General features: G+C 46.2%; 1 long non-coding RNA gene across 1 annotated transcript in view; it reads left to right on the forward strand.

The window, feature by feature from the left end:
• Positions 1 to 2,062, forward strand: part of TBX3-AS1 (TBX3 antisense RNA 1) — an 85,697-nt gene extending 83,635 nt beyond the window's left edge. The window contains exon 2 of the long non-coding RNA NR_187552.1: positions 1,358 to 2,062. This is a non-coding gene — a long non-coding RNA (TBX3 antisense RNA 1). The remainder of the gene's footprint in view (positions 1 to 1,357) is intronic.
• Positions 2,063 to 16,112: the final 14,050 nt, after the last annotated feature.

Raw genomic sequence — 16,112 nt, forward strand, 5'->3', positions numbered from 1 at the left:
CTTCCCTCCTGCCGCCCTTCCCCCTCCTCTCTCTGTCTAAAACTCCCCAGGTTCTAGCCAGTCTTGAGATTTATGACCTGTTTTATTTTGTGAACCCCCTAAGATCGTATTTGGGTGATGAGGAGCTGAGAGGTCTGCAGATAGCCTGTTGGTTGGAAAAGGGAGTATAAAGTATAATGAATGCAGTATATTTCCCAGTTGCTCTTTCATGCACATACATAAAGTTATAAATGCCCCCGAGCGTGTGGCAAGCACATAGCGGCCTTTGAAACACACACAGCAATATGCTCAGAGACAGCACCCCCCCCCCCCAGACCCATGCACAGCGAGGCATCACACGCTTGCAAACACATGCAAAAGACCCACAGGCGTACAGGAGCATATTCATGCACAAGCAGACCCATACCAACATACAAAACTAGAAACAGATGCAAACCAACATCCAACATCAGACCCAGATGGGGCTATGCACCCCAATATGCACCCCCCTACTGCTGCGGCCCCTCCAAAAAGTTGAAATGCACAGTGCTGGAAGGATCCTTTTAGCTCCCTCTTCAATTTCCCTTGCAATATGAATGTCTTCCAAATTGCAGCCCTGGGACCTACAAACTGCACTCCATTCTGCTTTCTTTTCTTTTTCTTTTTCTTTTTTTTTTTTGAGACAGACTCTCGCTCTGTTGCCCAGGCTGGAGTGCAGTGGCATGATCTCAGCTCACCGCAAGCTCCGCCTCCTGGGTTCAGCCATTCTCCTGCCTCAGCCTCCCTAGTAGCAGGGACTACAGGCGCCCGCCACCATCCCCAGCTAATTTTTTGTATTTTTAGTAGAGGCGGGGTTTCACCCTGTTAGCCAAGATGGTCTCGATCTCCTGACCTCGTGATCCGCCCGCCTCCCAAAGTGCTGGGATTACAGGCGTGAGCCACTGCGCCCGGCATTTTTTTTTTTTTTTTTTTTTGAGACAGAGTCTCCCTCTGTCACCAGGCTGGAGTGCAGTGGTGTGATCTTGGCTCGCTGCAACCTCCGACTCCCTGGTTCAATTGATTCTCCTGCCTCAGCCTCCCGAGTAGCTGGGGTTACAGGCACGCACCACCACGCCCAGCTAATTTGTGTATTTTTAGTAGAGACGAGGTTTCACCATGTTGGCCAGGATGGTCTAGATTTCCTGACATCATGATCCCCCCGTCTCAGCCTCCCAAAGTTCTGGGATTACAGGCGTGAGCCACCGCGCCTGGCCTCTACTTTCTTAATAAGACCTCCAGGCGCATGACAAAGCAGAAACCTTCAGAAACAAAATCTACCGAGTTCGAAGAACGGGCCTGGCCCAAGGCACTTTGGACGCTGTCCGTTCTGTCTTCACAGCGGCTTGCAGTAAACTTCTTGGAGGAGAATTGGCATTGCAAGGGTGTTACTGGAGACCTCGGCAAGAAAGTGAATGCAAAGACAGATGACCCAGGAACCCGTGATGGATAAGGCTCTTGACAGCCAGGACGTGGAATTACAGGGGGTCTCTTTGAGAGACAAAATAAAAAAAATAGCCCAGTAATCTTCCTTCCACCCTTTTCTCCCAGATCTAATTACAGATGTCTTGACATTCCTTCTGCATAGAATTTCCTTAAAAGATTTGCCAAGAAGAAACATTTGGAAACTGTGTTTTAGGTATAATCCGTCTGGGAGTCACTCTTGCTCGCTTTGTCGTTAGATGACAAAACGCTTAATTACAGCGAGCACAATGTATACCACATTTGGAAAACTGGATTCTTGACCTAAATAATGTACCCCATACTGACAATGGCCTTTTGGCAAAACTTGTGTCTCTGATCTCACATTAATTACTACACAAATATACTTATTGTGGGCACCGAGTTTATGGGATGGAGTCCTCTTGACACATGTTCACCATAAAAACACATTTTTTTCCCTTCCCCTGACCCTAAGGAAAAGAAAAAAAAAAAGATTAACATTTTTCAAGATGCTGTTTTAGTGACATGAAAACTGTCTGTTGAGTGTTCACTCGGCTTTTGTTCTTTTTCTTTTCTCCTTTTATTAAAAAGCCTTTCAAACCAAGCATTCCTGGTTTGTGATTCTTTACTTTTGCTTTTATGCTGAGGGAGAGACAGATTAGATTAGATTAAAGACCAAGGGACACCTCGTGAAATACATTCCATCTAGAGGCAATTTGGTTGAGAGGGCCAATTGTGTGTGTGTGTGCCTGTGTGCGTGCAGGCGTGCGTGTTTCTCCTTGTGGCATACTGGTGGTCTTTTTACAGATACAGAGTTCTGGTTTTTGGAAATGCGTTTATTCCTTTAGCCTTTTTCCCTTCAGAAGCCTGCAGCCTTTGATTGTGGCCTGACTTTTAGGGGTCTGCGGCATTTTGGGGGGTAGTAAATCTTATTAACTCTTCCCTTTAGTGTCTCGCCATTCTCAAAAACTTTTACAAAAAGCAGCAACACCGCCCTCACCAAAGACAGATGAAAGGAGCGGTTTCAAAGCCCCTCTCCCCCCTGCCCCAGCAGGCCCCCAGATTGGTCTGATGATGTCACAGGGGTAACCACGGCAACAGGCCGTGACATCATGACAAAAGGAGGACTGACCTTGGCCTGGAATTCAAAGCAAAAGCAGCTCATAAACTTCTAAAGCAAGCAGGAGATAAATATCCTTAGTCATAAAAGAACAAACGAAGTTTGGGGTGGGGGGACGGGGGAAAAAAAAGCAGAACTTTTTTTTTTTTTTGAAATACAGTAAAATGTGTTGCCAAGTTTTTCAGGAAGTGCTAGTGGCCATTTTGATGATGTGAACTAGATTTTAAAACAGAAAGAGGAAAAATGAATGTGGTGGACAAGGGCTGCTGACAATATTAGATAGAATCAGGTGAAACTTTTCCCTAAACTATAATTTGTAAAATGGGGGAGAGGGGATGAGCCAGACCAAAGCAAAACAACAGACAAATTCATTTCTGAGTGAGAGAAGGAATTACATGGCAGGAGAAAGGGAGTAATCCAGGAACTGTATTTATCAAAAAGAGAATGTGCTCAAGGCAACATAGTACTCCGGATGGGATCCTGGGCCAGAAAAATGGATGAAATCTGAAGAAGATCTAGAGTTTAGTTCAGAGTAATGAACCAATGTTGGTTTCTTAGTTTAAAGGATTTTTTTTTTTTGAGACAGGGTCTCACTCTGTTGCCCAGGCTGGAGTGCAGTGGCATGATTTCGGCTCATTGTAGCCTCCGCCTCCTGGGTTCAAGCGATTCTCTTGCCTCAGCCTCCTGAGTAGCTGGGATCACAGGCATGGGCCACCACACCCAGCTAATTTTTGTATTTTTAGTAGAGACAGGGTTTTACCATATTGGCCAGGCTGGTCTTGAACTCCTGACCTCAGGTACCCTCCCGCCTTGGCCTCCCAAAGTGCTGGGATTATAGGAGTGAGACACCATACCTAGCCAATTTTAATTTTAAAATTGTATTTATTGATTTATTCATTTATTTTTAGATTCAGGGTCTCTCCACCTCCCGGGCTCAAGTGACCTTCCCATCCCAGCCTCTTGAGTAGCTGGAACTACAGGGTCACCCACCACTTTTGACTAATTTTTTATTTTTTGTAGGATGGGGTCTTGCTATGTTGCCAAGGCTGGTCTCAACCTCCTAACCTCAGATGATCCTCTCACCTCAGCCTCTCAAAGTTTGGGGATTACAGGCATGAGCCTCCATGCCTGGCTTGCCTCCAGGAAACTTAAGGAAGTCCCCTGCGTCATTCTAGAAGGTGTTCTTGTCCTTAGAGTCTTCTATGAGTCTACTGGCCCAGTTTCACAAGAAAGCTTCTTTCTCTAGATGTCCTGAGGGTAGGCTGACCACACAGCGTAAGAAGCTTGTCTCCAGATGCCAGGAGGGGCGGTGAAATTACACCAAACTGGGAGTGGAGAGGGCCTGTCTCTGCTTTCACATGAACTTGCACGTGATATTGGGAAAGACAGAGCTTCATTTTTTCTGGTCCACAAAACAGGGTCATTGGGCAATAGATAACAATGGTAAACAGATTTCATGTCAGGTGCAAGCTGAGGCCCTGTCTATAATTTAAAAACAACAACAATTTGCCTGGCTAATTTAAAAAATTTTTAATTTTGTAGTGACGGGGTCTCACTCTGTTGCCCAGGCTGGTCTCAAACTCCTGGGCTCAAGTGATCATCCTGCCTCAGCCTCCCAAGTAGCTAGTTGGGATTATAAGCATGTACCACCCTGCCTGGCTCCTTACTTGTAAGTTTGAGTCAACTGATGGAGACTGGCTGGGGCCCTGTGTTAAGCCTGGGATCAATGAGAAGAAATGTGGTGGTCCATTAGTAATGTCTGCCATGGATGTGGGTTTGGAAAGTGGAAGCATGTGTTTGCCATTCCAAGCCCTTGTACACTTGGGCCTAGCCCCTCTGGGGCCTGCTAGTCTAGACAGATTCTTGTGTTTCCAGCAACACCCGTGTGGAACAGTAGACAGAACACAGTCCCTGGAGTCAGTGAGCAATGGCTTTCAGTCCTAGCTTTCTCCATGTACTTGTGATAAATGGCTCAGGGCATTTGGTAAATACGAGACACAATGTGTGAAGCTCTGTGCATACCCACTGCCATCTGGGGGAGAGAGACAACTTAACAGGCAACAAAACCACACTGTGCTGAGTGCTATGATAACAGAGTGTTCTTGGAGTACTGAGTAGGTGGACCCGACTTACACCTGAGGGGCAGGCAAGGAAGACTTCCTGGTGGAAGTGGTATCTAAGCTGATTTTTTTCTTTTTTTTTTTTTTTGAGACAGTCTCACTCTGTCACTCAGGCTGGAGTGCAGTGGTGCAATCTCGGATTACTGCAACCTCCACTATCTGAGTTCAAGGGATTCTCTTGCCTCAGCCTCCCAAGTAGCTGGGATTACAGACACCCGCCACCACGTCTGGCTAATTTTTGTATTTTTAGTAGACATGGGGTTTTACCATGTTGGCCAGGCTAGTCTCGAACTCCTGGCCTCAAGTGATCCTCCCATCTCGGCCTCCCAAAGTGCTGGGATTACAAGCATGAGCCACCGCACCTGGCTATCTAAGCTAAATTTTGAAGGATGAATTAAGTATTAACCTGGAGAAGGGAGCAGGGTGAGATGAGGATGGAGTCTGGCTGGGCTTAGATCATGTAGGGCCTGAAGAGCCTTCTTGTGAATTCCAGCTTAATTTTGAGGGTCATGGGGAGCCACTGAAGAACTTTATGAAAGAGAGTTTTATTAGCAAAAAGTCGTTCTGGCTTAAGAGATAGATTTGGGTAGGGGAAAAACTAAGGAAGCCCTTTTTAGAATCCAAGCAAGAAATGATGACACTTATACTATGCCATGGAGCACAGAAAGGCAGATCACTGAGAGATGTTCAGGGGATTGAATGGATGTGGGGGCACCCATTACTTAGGTCTCTGAGCCTCAGTTTCCTCATTTGTTTGAAGTTATTGTGAGGTTTAAATGAGATGATGTGTGTAAAGTCTCAGCATGGTTCCTGGTACACTGTAGGTGCTCAATAAATGCTAACCACATCCATTACGTCTTAAAAGTTCAGTAATTTCATTTTCCTTTTTTTCTTTTTTTTTTTTTTTAATAGAGATGGAGTCTCACTATGTTGCCCAGTCTGGACTTGAAGTCTTGGCCTCAAGCAAACCCCCTTGCGTCAGCCTCTGAAAGTGCTGGGATTACAGGCATGAGCTACCGTGCTTGCCTTCTCCTCCTTCTCCTTCTCCTTCTTCTCCTCCTCCTCCTCCTTCTCCTTCTTCTTCATTGTTAATTTTAGGTGCAGCAATTCCATCCAGGGGATAAAAGATTTATTTATTTTATTTTATCATTTTTTAAAATTTATTTTTTCGAGATGGAGTCTCGCTCTGTCTCCCAGGCTGGAGTGCAGTGGTACGATCTCGGCTCACTGCAACTTCCGCCTCCTGGGTTCAAGTGATTCTTCTGCCTCAGCCTCCCGAGTAGCTGGGATTATAGACATGTGCCACCATGCCCAGCTAATTTTTGTATTTTTAGTAGAGACGGGGTTTCACCATGTTGGCCAGGCTGGTCTCGAACTCCTGACCTCTGGTGATCCACCCTCCTTGGCCTCCCAAAGTGCTGGGATTATAGGCGTGAGCCACTGCACCCAGCCATAAAAGATTTATTTAACAAATGGTAAAACTGAGGTCCAGAGAGGGGCAGTGAAATGACCAGCACCAAGCAGCAAATTAGTGGCAGAACCAAGATTTGAACTCTGCACCTTTGTGATTTTGAGGTCAGTGTTCTTTCCTCCCTTCCTATTCTCCAGCCAGCTGGACCCCTGGGGGCTTCCTTTTGGTCAGAGGAAAATAAGGTCTCTGTACTGTGTTCAGTTGTATCTCTCAAAAAAATACGTTCAGACCGGGCGCAGTGGCTCATGCCTGTAATCCCAGCACTTTGGGAGGCCGAGGTGGGCGGATCACTTGAAGTCAGGAGTTTGAGACTAGCCTGGCCAACGTGATAAAATCCTGTCTCTACTAAAAATACAAAAATTAGCTGGGCGAGGTGAGGGGTGCCTGTAGTCCCAGCTACTTGGGAGGCTGAGGCAGGAGAACCTCTTGAACCTGGGAGATGGAGGTTGCAGTGAGCTGAGATAGCACCACCTCAGTCTAGGCTGGGAGACAGAGTGAGATTTTGTCTCAAAAAGAAAAAAAAAATGTTCAAGGCCAGGCATGGTGGCTCACACCTGTAATCCCAGTGCTTTGGGAGGCCCAGCCCAGGTGGGAGGAGTGCATGATGCCAGGAGTTCAAGATCAGCCTGGGCAACATAGTGAGACCCTGCCTCTACAAATTTTTTTTTTTTTCATTAGCCAAGCAGGGTGGCATGCACCTGTTGTCCCAGCTATTCTGGATGCTGAGGCAGGAGGATCACTTGAGCTGAGGAGGTAGAGGCTGCAGTGAGCTTTGATAGCGCCACTGCACTCCAGCCTGGGCAACAGAGTAAGACCCTGTCCCTTAGAAAAGACAATAAAGTTCAAGTCCTAATCTGTATACGTGTGAATGTGTATTTGGAAATACGGTCTTTGCAGACGTAATCAAGGCAGACCATTGGGAGATGTTCAGGGGATTGAATGGATTTGGGGGCACCCGTTACTTAGGTCTCTGAACCTCAGTTTTCTCATTTATTTGAAGACATTGTGAGGTTTAAATGAGATGATGTGTGAACAAATCTCAGCATGGTTCGTGGTACACTGTAGGTGCTCAATAGGAGGTCATATTGGATTAGGGTGGCTCCTAATCTAATGAATGGCATTCTTTCTTTCTGTTTTTTTTTTTTTTTTTTTTTTTTTGAGCTGGAGTCTCATTCTGTTACCCAGACTGGAGTGCAGTGGCACGATCTCGGCCCGCTGCAACCTCTGCCTCCCAGGTTCAAGTGATTCTCCTGCCTCTGCCTCCCGAATAGCTGGAATTACAGGTGCGTGCCACCACACCAGGCTAATTTTTTTTTTTTTTTTTTTTTGAGACGGAATCTCGCTCTGTCACCCAGGCTGGAGTGCAGTGGTATGATCTCGGCTCACTGCAACCTCCGCCTCCCGGGTTCAAGCAATTCTCCTGCCTCAGCCTCCTGAGTAGCTGGGATTACAGGTGCCTGTCACCCTGCCCAGCTAATTTTTGTATTTTTAGTAGAGACGGGGTTTCACCATGTTGGTCAGGCTGGTCTCAAACCCCTGACCTCGTGATCTGCCCACCTCGGCCTCCCAAAGTGCTGGGATTACAGGCATGAGCCACCACACCCGGCCCACACCTGGCTAATTTTTGTGTTTGTATTAGAGACCAGGTTTCGCCATGTTGGCCAGGCTGGTATCCAACTCTTGACCTCAAGTGATCTGCCCACCTCAGCCTCCCAAAGTGCTGGAATTACAGGCGTGAGCCACAGCGTGCGGCACCAGCATTCTTATAAGAAAAGAGAAATGGACGCAGAGGTACACAGAGAGAACACCATGTGAAGACAGAGGCAGAGATTGGAGTCGTTCTCATCTACAAAGCTGAAGAATTCCAAGGATTGCCACTAATCACCAGAACCCAAGAGGGGAGCAAGGAACAGATTCTCCCTCAGAGCCTCAAAAAAGAAACCAACCCAGTGAACACCTTGATTTCTGACTTCTGAACTCCAGAATCACAAGAGAACACATTTCTCTTGTTTTAAGTCACCCGATTTGCGAATTTGCTATACTTCCTTTTGGCAACCATGGGAAACAAACACAGTCGCTAAGAAGGTGTCTCGCTCTCAGATTTTATCAGCTATCCTCACTGCTCTGGACCTAGGCTCTAGGAGACAGTTTGGAAAGGAGAGACGGCGGCTGGGTGAGAGGACAGAGGGCTTGGGAGCCTGGGGGTGGCATCACAGGATTTCTCCGCGTCACCTTGGTCGGTGACATGGTTTCCTGAGCATGTGCGTCAGCCCTTGGAGATGTCCAGCGTAAGTCAAAGCCTTTGTTCCCTACGATAACCTTGAGAGATGACTCAGTAGAGAAGAAGGCAGGCTGTGGGGTGGGGGAAATGGTCAGTGCAGCTACAAATGAGAGCCTGTTCCTGGCTCAAGGGGAGGACAAGGCAGAAAAACAACAACAGTAATTACCATTCCCTGTTGTTTCCCTGGACCGACCTCCCCTCGTCCTCCACCCGGATGATCCTGAGGCCTAACTCTCCTCTCTGTCCTCACCCTGCACCCATTCTTCCCCACCATCTGTTTTATTATTTTTTTAATTCCACTTTATGGAGAAATATAACTTACATAAAATAAAACACACCAATTTTGAGTGTAGAGTTCAATAAATTTTGATAAAATGCTTATCAAATCCTACCCGATGATAAAATGTTTATCAAAACATAGTGTTGTGTAACCACCAACACAATCAAGATGTAGAACATTCTTCTTCACTCCCTAAAATTCCCCCTCCACGCTCCCCAGCTACCTGCCCACACCCACCCATTCCCTCAGGCTTCTGGCGACCATTGATCTGCCTTTCGTCACCGTAGATGAGTGCAATCATTTCTATCCTTTCATAGAAATGAAATTGCCCAGTATAAACTTCTCTTTATCTGGCATTTTTTGTGTTGTTCAGCATCATGTTTTTGAGCTCAGCTTTCATGTTGTTGCAGAGATCAATGGTTGCTTTTTATTGATGCATAGCCCTCCATTATAGGAGAGTACTACAGTATAGTCATTGACCTGTGGATGGACACTTATTTCCACTTCTTTCCTCTTATGAATAATGCTGGTAGGAGCATACAAGTTTAAGTCCTGACCAGTCTTGGTGGCCATGTCTATACTCCCAGCACTTTGGGAGGCCGAGGCAGAAGAATCGCTTGAGGCCAGCCTGAACAACATAGCGAGATCCCATCTCTACCATAAAATGAAAACACTTCATTTTTGTTGTGCGCTGGTAGTCCCAGCTACTCGGGAGGCTGAGGTGGGAGGATCACCTGAGCCTAGAATTTCAAGGCTACTGTGAGCTGTGATTACGCCACTGCACATTAGGTAATGCAGTGTGGAGTGAAGTGGTGCAATCACAGCTCACTGCAGAGTGAGACCCTCTCTCTCTTTTTTTTTTTTTTTGAGACGGAGTCTCGTACTCTCCCCCAGACTGGAGTGCAGTGGCGCGATCTCGGCTCACTGCAAGCTCCACCTCCTGGGTTCACGCTGTTCTCCTGCCTCAGCCTCCCAAGTAGCTGGGACTACAGGCGCCCACCACCATGCCCGGCTAATTTTTTGTACTTTTAGTAGAGATGGGGTTTCACCATGTTAGCCAGGATGGTCTCGAACTCCTGACCTCGTGATCCGCCTGCCTCGGCTTCCCAAAGTGCTGGGATTACAGGCGTGAGCCATTGCACCTGGCCGAGACCCTGTCTCTAATTAAAAAAAAAAAAAAAAAAAATTGTAAGCCTTTTTGTGGACATATGATTTTTTTTTTTCCTGGGTAGATATTTAACACTGAAATTACCGAGATGTATGGTAAGTGTTTGACTTTTTACCCCAATATAAGCAATTTAAGAGCTAAAACAATAAACTTCTAGAAGAAAATACACTAGAAAATCTTTGTGACCTTGGACTGGAGAAGATTTCTTAGTTGGTATAAGAAAAGCATAAACCACAAAATAAAAATAAATGACTTTATCAAGATGTAAGACTTCTGTATTTTGAGAGACCCTGTTAAGAAAATGAAAAGGCAAGTCATAGTCCAGGAGACATAATTTGTAAATCATATTTGACAGAGGATATGTATCAGAATATTAAAAGAACATCTGTAAGTGACTAATCGGAAGATAAATGACACAATTAAAAAATGGGGGCTGGCTGGGTGCCGTGGCTCACGCCTGTAATCCCAGCACTTTGGGAAGCCCAGGTGAGTGGATCACTTGAGCCCAGGAGTTCGAGACCAGCCTGGCCATCATGGCAAAACCCCATCTCTACTAAAAATACAAAAATTGGCTGAGTGTGATGGCCCATGCCTGTCATCCTAGCTACTTGTGAGGCTCAGGTAGAGGAATCACTTGAACCCATGGCTCTGCACTCCAGCCTGGGCAACAGAACAAGACTGTCTTAAAAAAAAAAAATGGGGGTGGGCGGCCGGGTCTGGTGGCTCATGTCTGTAATCCAGCTCTTTTGGAGGCCAAGGCTGGGATTACAGGCGTGAGCCACCACATCTGATGGTTCACTTGGGAGGACTGCTTGAGCCCAGGACTTTGAGACCAGCCTGGGCAATATGGTAAAACCCTGTCTTTACAAAACTGAAAAATTAGATGAGTGTGGTGGCGTACACCTGAGGTCCCAGCTACGCAGGAAGCTGAAGTGGGGCAATCACTCGAGTCTAGGTGGTCAAGGATGCAGTGAGCTGAGATCACACCACTGCATTCCAGCCTGGGTGCAGAGCGAGATCCTGTCTCAAAAAATAAAATAAAATAAAATAAAAATAAATAAATAAGGCCGGGCACGGTGACTCATGCCTGTAATCCCAGCACTTTGGGAGGCTGAGGTGGGTAAATCACGAGGTCGAGATCGAGACCATCCAGGTCAACGTGGTGAAACCCTGTCTCTACTAAAAATAGAAAAATTAGCTACTCCAGAGGCTGAGGCAGGAGAATCACTTGAACCCGGGAGGCAGAGGTTGCAGTGAGCCGAAATTGTGCCACTGCACTCCAGCCTGACGACAGAGCAAGACTCCATCTTAAGAATGAATAAATAAATAAATAGGCAAAGGGATTTTCAAGACACTTCACAGAAGGAGCTATGTGAATAGTCAAAAAGCACCTTAAAAAATAACTACATCATGAATCATCAGGAAAATAAAAATTAAAACCACAATGTGGTACCACTCATAATGTGATACCACAGCGATGGCTGAAATTAAAGACTGGTCATTCCAAGTGTTGAGGAAAATGGGGAGCAACTGGAATGTTCCAACTCTGCTGGTGGGAATGCAAAATTAGATCGCCAGTGTTGGAGAACGTTTGTCAGTTTCTTCCAACAGTTTGCTTTTGTAATTAAAAAAATGAAAACAGCTTTTAAAATCCTCCAGTGGCCTCACATGGCATTCAAATAAAATCCAAACGTTTTCTTTTTTTCTTTTTAAATTTTTCTAAAATTTTAATTATAAATCCAAACTTTGATCTGTGTCCTACAAAGCCTCTAGTTCACGCCCCTGCAGCCACACAGCACCTGGTTCTGATCTTTAAGTGGAGAAGGCACCTTTGCTCTTCCCTCTGCCTGGTGGTCTCTCCTGAGCCCTTCCTAGGATGGACTCCATGACCAAGTCTCTCCTCAGATGTCCTCTCCGTACAAAGAAGGTGTTCCTGTCCCTCACCATTTCCTTTACTGTGTCTTATTTACCTCTGAAAATCTCCTATGAATTTGCCTGCCATCTGCCTCCACTCTCCCAGCTCTTCCAATGAGGAAGGAGGCTCCAGGAGGGCGGGAACACCATTTCTCTGTTTAGCACTGTGCCCCATAACGCAGCTCCCAGCACATAGTAGGACCTTCATAAGTGTTGAATCCATAAGTGTCTTCCATAGGGACAAAGAAAATGCAGATAGTGATGGCAGAACTGGGACTCAAACCTAGCTCTCTCTGGCTTTAAAGACATGGTTCTGGCTGGGCACAATGGCTCATGCCTGTAATCTCAGCACTTTGGGAGGCTGAGGGGGAGGACTGCTCTAGCCCAGTAGTTTGAGACCAGCCCGGGCAATATAGCCAGATACCATCTCTTAAAAAAAAAAAATGCTGGATGTGGTGGTAGGTGCCTGTAGTCCCAGCCACCTGGGAGGCTGAAGCGGGAGGATCACTTAAGCCTGGGAGGTCGAGGCAACAGTGAGCCATGAGGGTGCCGCTGTGCTCCAGCCTGGGCAACAGAGCAAGACCCTGTCTCAAAACAACAAAACCCCCCAAACAAAACAAAACAAAAGACTTTTCTAAAACATCTTGTTGTACGTCATACATATATGCATATTTATTTATTTATTTATTTATTTATTTATTTTTGAGACAGGGTCTCACTCTGTCACCCAGGCTAGAGTGCAGTGGCACAATCTCAGCTCACTGGAACATACACCTCCCAGATGCAAGCGATTCTTTTGCCTCAGCTTCCCGAGTAGCTGGGATTACAGGTGCGCACCACTATGCCTGGCGAAGTTTTCTATTTTTAGTAGAGACAGGGTTTCACCATGTTGCCCAGGCTGGTCTTGAACTCATGACCTCAAGTGATCCATCTGCCTTGGACCTCCCAAAGTGTTAGGATTACAGGTGTGAGCTACTGCGCCTGGCCAATTTTTATTTTTATTTATTTATTTATTTTTTGAGACAGAGTCTGGCTGTGTCGCCCAGGATGGAGTGCAGTGGCGCGATCTCGGCTCACTGCAAGCCCCGCCTCCCGGGTTCACGCCATTCTCCTGCCTCAGCCTCCCGAGTAGCTGGAACTACAGGCTCCCGCCACTACGCCCAGCTAATTTTTTGTATTTTTAGTAGAGACGGGGTTTCATCGTGTTAGCCAGGATGGTCTTGATCCTGACCTCGTGATCTGCCTGCCTCGGCCTCCCAAAGTGCTGGAATTACAGGCCAGTTTTTATTTTTTAATTAAAAAGTAAGTTCAAAGGAGGTCAGGTTTTGCCAGTAAATTCATTATGGAAATAACTGCCACTTTCCAGAGTTCTGGGCTGTTGGAATTGTGAATATGGGCCTGAAGACCTGTGCTGAATTATTCCTTCACAAATGAAGACGCCCTCTGGGTAAAGAATTTGGGGTCCTTGTTTAAAGGACAACGTTGATAATGATGATTTGGATGATTTAGAAAAAAGACATAGTTCTTGAAGATCACCATCAAGGTGGGGCTAAATGCCTGCAAGGCATGTCCTTGATTCCAACCTTAGGGAACTAGACTCTCCTGCTAGTCAAATGAGGGAGAATTCCAGAGGGAACATGCCAAGTTAGGCTCCCAGAATGAGAGTAGCCTGAAGGAGAAGCCCAGACTGCATTACTGTGAGGACAAAAGGAGCTCAGCTGTGACTTTCAACACTTTGCTCTCCCTTTTTGAAGTCAGGGAGTGAAACAGTGAATTGTTGAGGCTCTCACCCATTTTCCGTATGAGGAGAGAAAGATCGTAGGAAGGATACAGGTCAGGGACAGGGCTGAGGACAAGGGGCTGTTTTCATGTTGGTGTGCAGTTGGCAGAGTTTGAGCTGGACCTCGGAGCTCATCTGGTCCAGTTCCCTGTTCCACAAATGGGGAAACTGAGGCCCTGAGGTGGAGGTGGAAGAACCACAGAAGCCTGGGCTAGTCCTCAGAGTTTGGAAGGGCAGGATTTTACTGGACTTTGGTGCAGTTTTTCTCCCTTCCTTCCTTCCTTCCTTCCCTCCCTCCCTTCCTTCTTTCCTTTCTTTCTTTCTTTCTTTCTCTTTCTTTCTTCCTTTCTTTCTTTCTCTTTTTCTCTTTCTTTTTCTTTCTCTTTCTCCTTTCTTTCCTTTTCTTTCTTTTTTCTCTTTTTCTCTTTTTCTTCTCTCTTTTCCCTCCCTCCCTTCTCTCTTTCTTTGTTTCTGTCTTGCTTGCTTGCTTGCTTCACTCTTCCTCTCTTTCCTTTTTTTTTTTTTTTTTAAAGGGATGGGGTCTTTTTCTGTCTCCCATGCTGGAGTATAGTGACACGATCATAGCTCACTTCAGCCTCAAACTCCTGGGCTCAAGCAATCCTCCCACCTTAGCCTCCTGAGTAGCTGGGGCCACAGGTACACACTACTGTGCTTGGTTTGATACAATCTTTTTGAGCAGAGACCTTTGTAAAAATGTAGAACCAGAAAACCAGGCAGTGAGCAGGTGGTTGAGAGCCTGGGGTCAGCCAGACCAAATTTTAGATTTGGCTCTGCCATTTACTTATTTGAAACCTTGAGTGAAGACTTCTTAACTTTCTGAGCCTCAGTTTTCTCATCTGTAGAATGGGGATGATAATAGTCATTTTGTAGGATTCCTAACTTCTTTAAATGAGAAAATACATGTTACTTAGCTCTATGCCTAGTGCTTGGCAGGTGCTTAATAAATTGTGCCAATTATGATGATTATTGTCATTACACCTTCTAGAACTAAAGTGGGGGTAGCAGAGTGATGGAAAGAGGGCTGGAGTTAAGGCAGATGTTAGTTAACTAGCCTGGAGTCTCCAGAAATCCAAATCCAGCATTTGAAGCAGGAAACCCCACCTTGAGGCCTCCATCAGACCTGAGAATTTCCAGAGTGCTTCCCTGGGACCCAGGTAATCTAATTTCGGGGAAGGAAGCGGGAGAGCTAACTGGTCATCAAGACACCATTGAAGAGTGACCCAGGAATTCTGTTCTTCCCTGTCAAGATGGAGACTTTAGGCTGGTTACTGAATCCCTCAGTTGATCTCTGTAAAAATGGGAAGGCCATTCCCTCTCTCACAGGATTGTGGAGACAATGAAACAAAGAGAGGTATATAAAACAACCAAGCATGGCGCCCACACTCAAGAGACCTTGGTGCAAAGGAAGCACGTGGGCTGCACCAGTCACTGCCTTCACTCCACGTAAGTGGGTGGAGTTTCTGAAGTTGCCCACTTGGCTCCAGAAGAGAAAGACTCCTAGACATTTTAAGCAGTCTGGACATGCCTGAACTTGCAGATGCCATTTTGAATCCAAGGGGCCCTTGACTGAAAGGAGAGCATCCAGGGAAAATGCATTTGTGCAACTTGTCACTCTGTCTAGATCAGTGCAGATTTTTTTCCAGCCCAGGGAGGGGAACGGGAATCTTTGGCTTGTGAGCCTTACACACCGTTTATCTCATCTGCTTGTCACAATAGTCTGGAAGATAGGCCAGGGAGATGCTAATGTTCCCAAGACCCTGGGGAGAGATCAGCTGCTTGACTTCAAGGAGACTCCATCCAATCTGAGGGATGGAGGATGAGGGATTACAACAACCTTGCAAGGAATTAGGCCCCCAGGCCAGAGGGACAGGTCTTGGGCATTTATTCAAATAAGCGAGCAAGCATATAAGCAAATACAGTGATGGATTTTATTTATTTGTTTATTTTTGGCTTCCTGCGGGTCTCCCAAGATGCTAAATGAAACAAGAAAAGTCAAATTCAGGGCGGGCGCGGTGGCTCACGCCTGTAATCCCAGCACTTTGGGAGGCTGAGGCGGGCACATAACCTGAGGTCAGGAGTTTGAGACCAGCCTGACTAACATGGGGAAACCCCGTCTCTACTAAAAATACAAAAAAATTAGCCGGGTGTGGTGGTGGGCGCCTGTAATCCCAGCTACTAGGGAGGCTGAGGCAGGAGAATCGCTTGAGCCGGGGAGGCAGAGGTTGCGGTGAGCCGAGATCATGCCATTGCACTCCAGCCTGGGCAACAAGAGAAAAACTCTGTCTCAAATTAAAAAAAAAAAAAAAAAAAAGAGAGAGAAAAGTCAAACTCATCAAAGACAATTGGGAACAAAGAAGGAAGCTAACACTTAATGTGCTCCCACTATGCACCACAAATCCTGTAAAGTGGGACTTACAAATTCCCATTTGACAGATGAGGAAATGGAGGTTTAGAGCTGTTAAATGTCTTGCCCAAAGGCCACCCAGCTGTTAAGATAAG

Source organism: Homo sapiens, chromosome 12 (genome assembly GCF_000001405.40).
Source record: "Homo sapiens chromosome 12, GRCh38.p14 Primary Assembly".
NCBI lineage: Eukaryota > Metazoa > Chordata > Mammalia > Primates > Hominidae > Homo > Homo sapiens.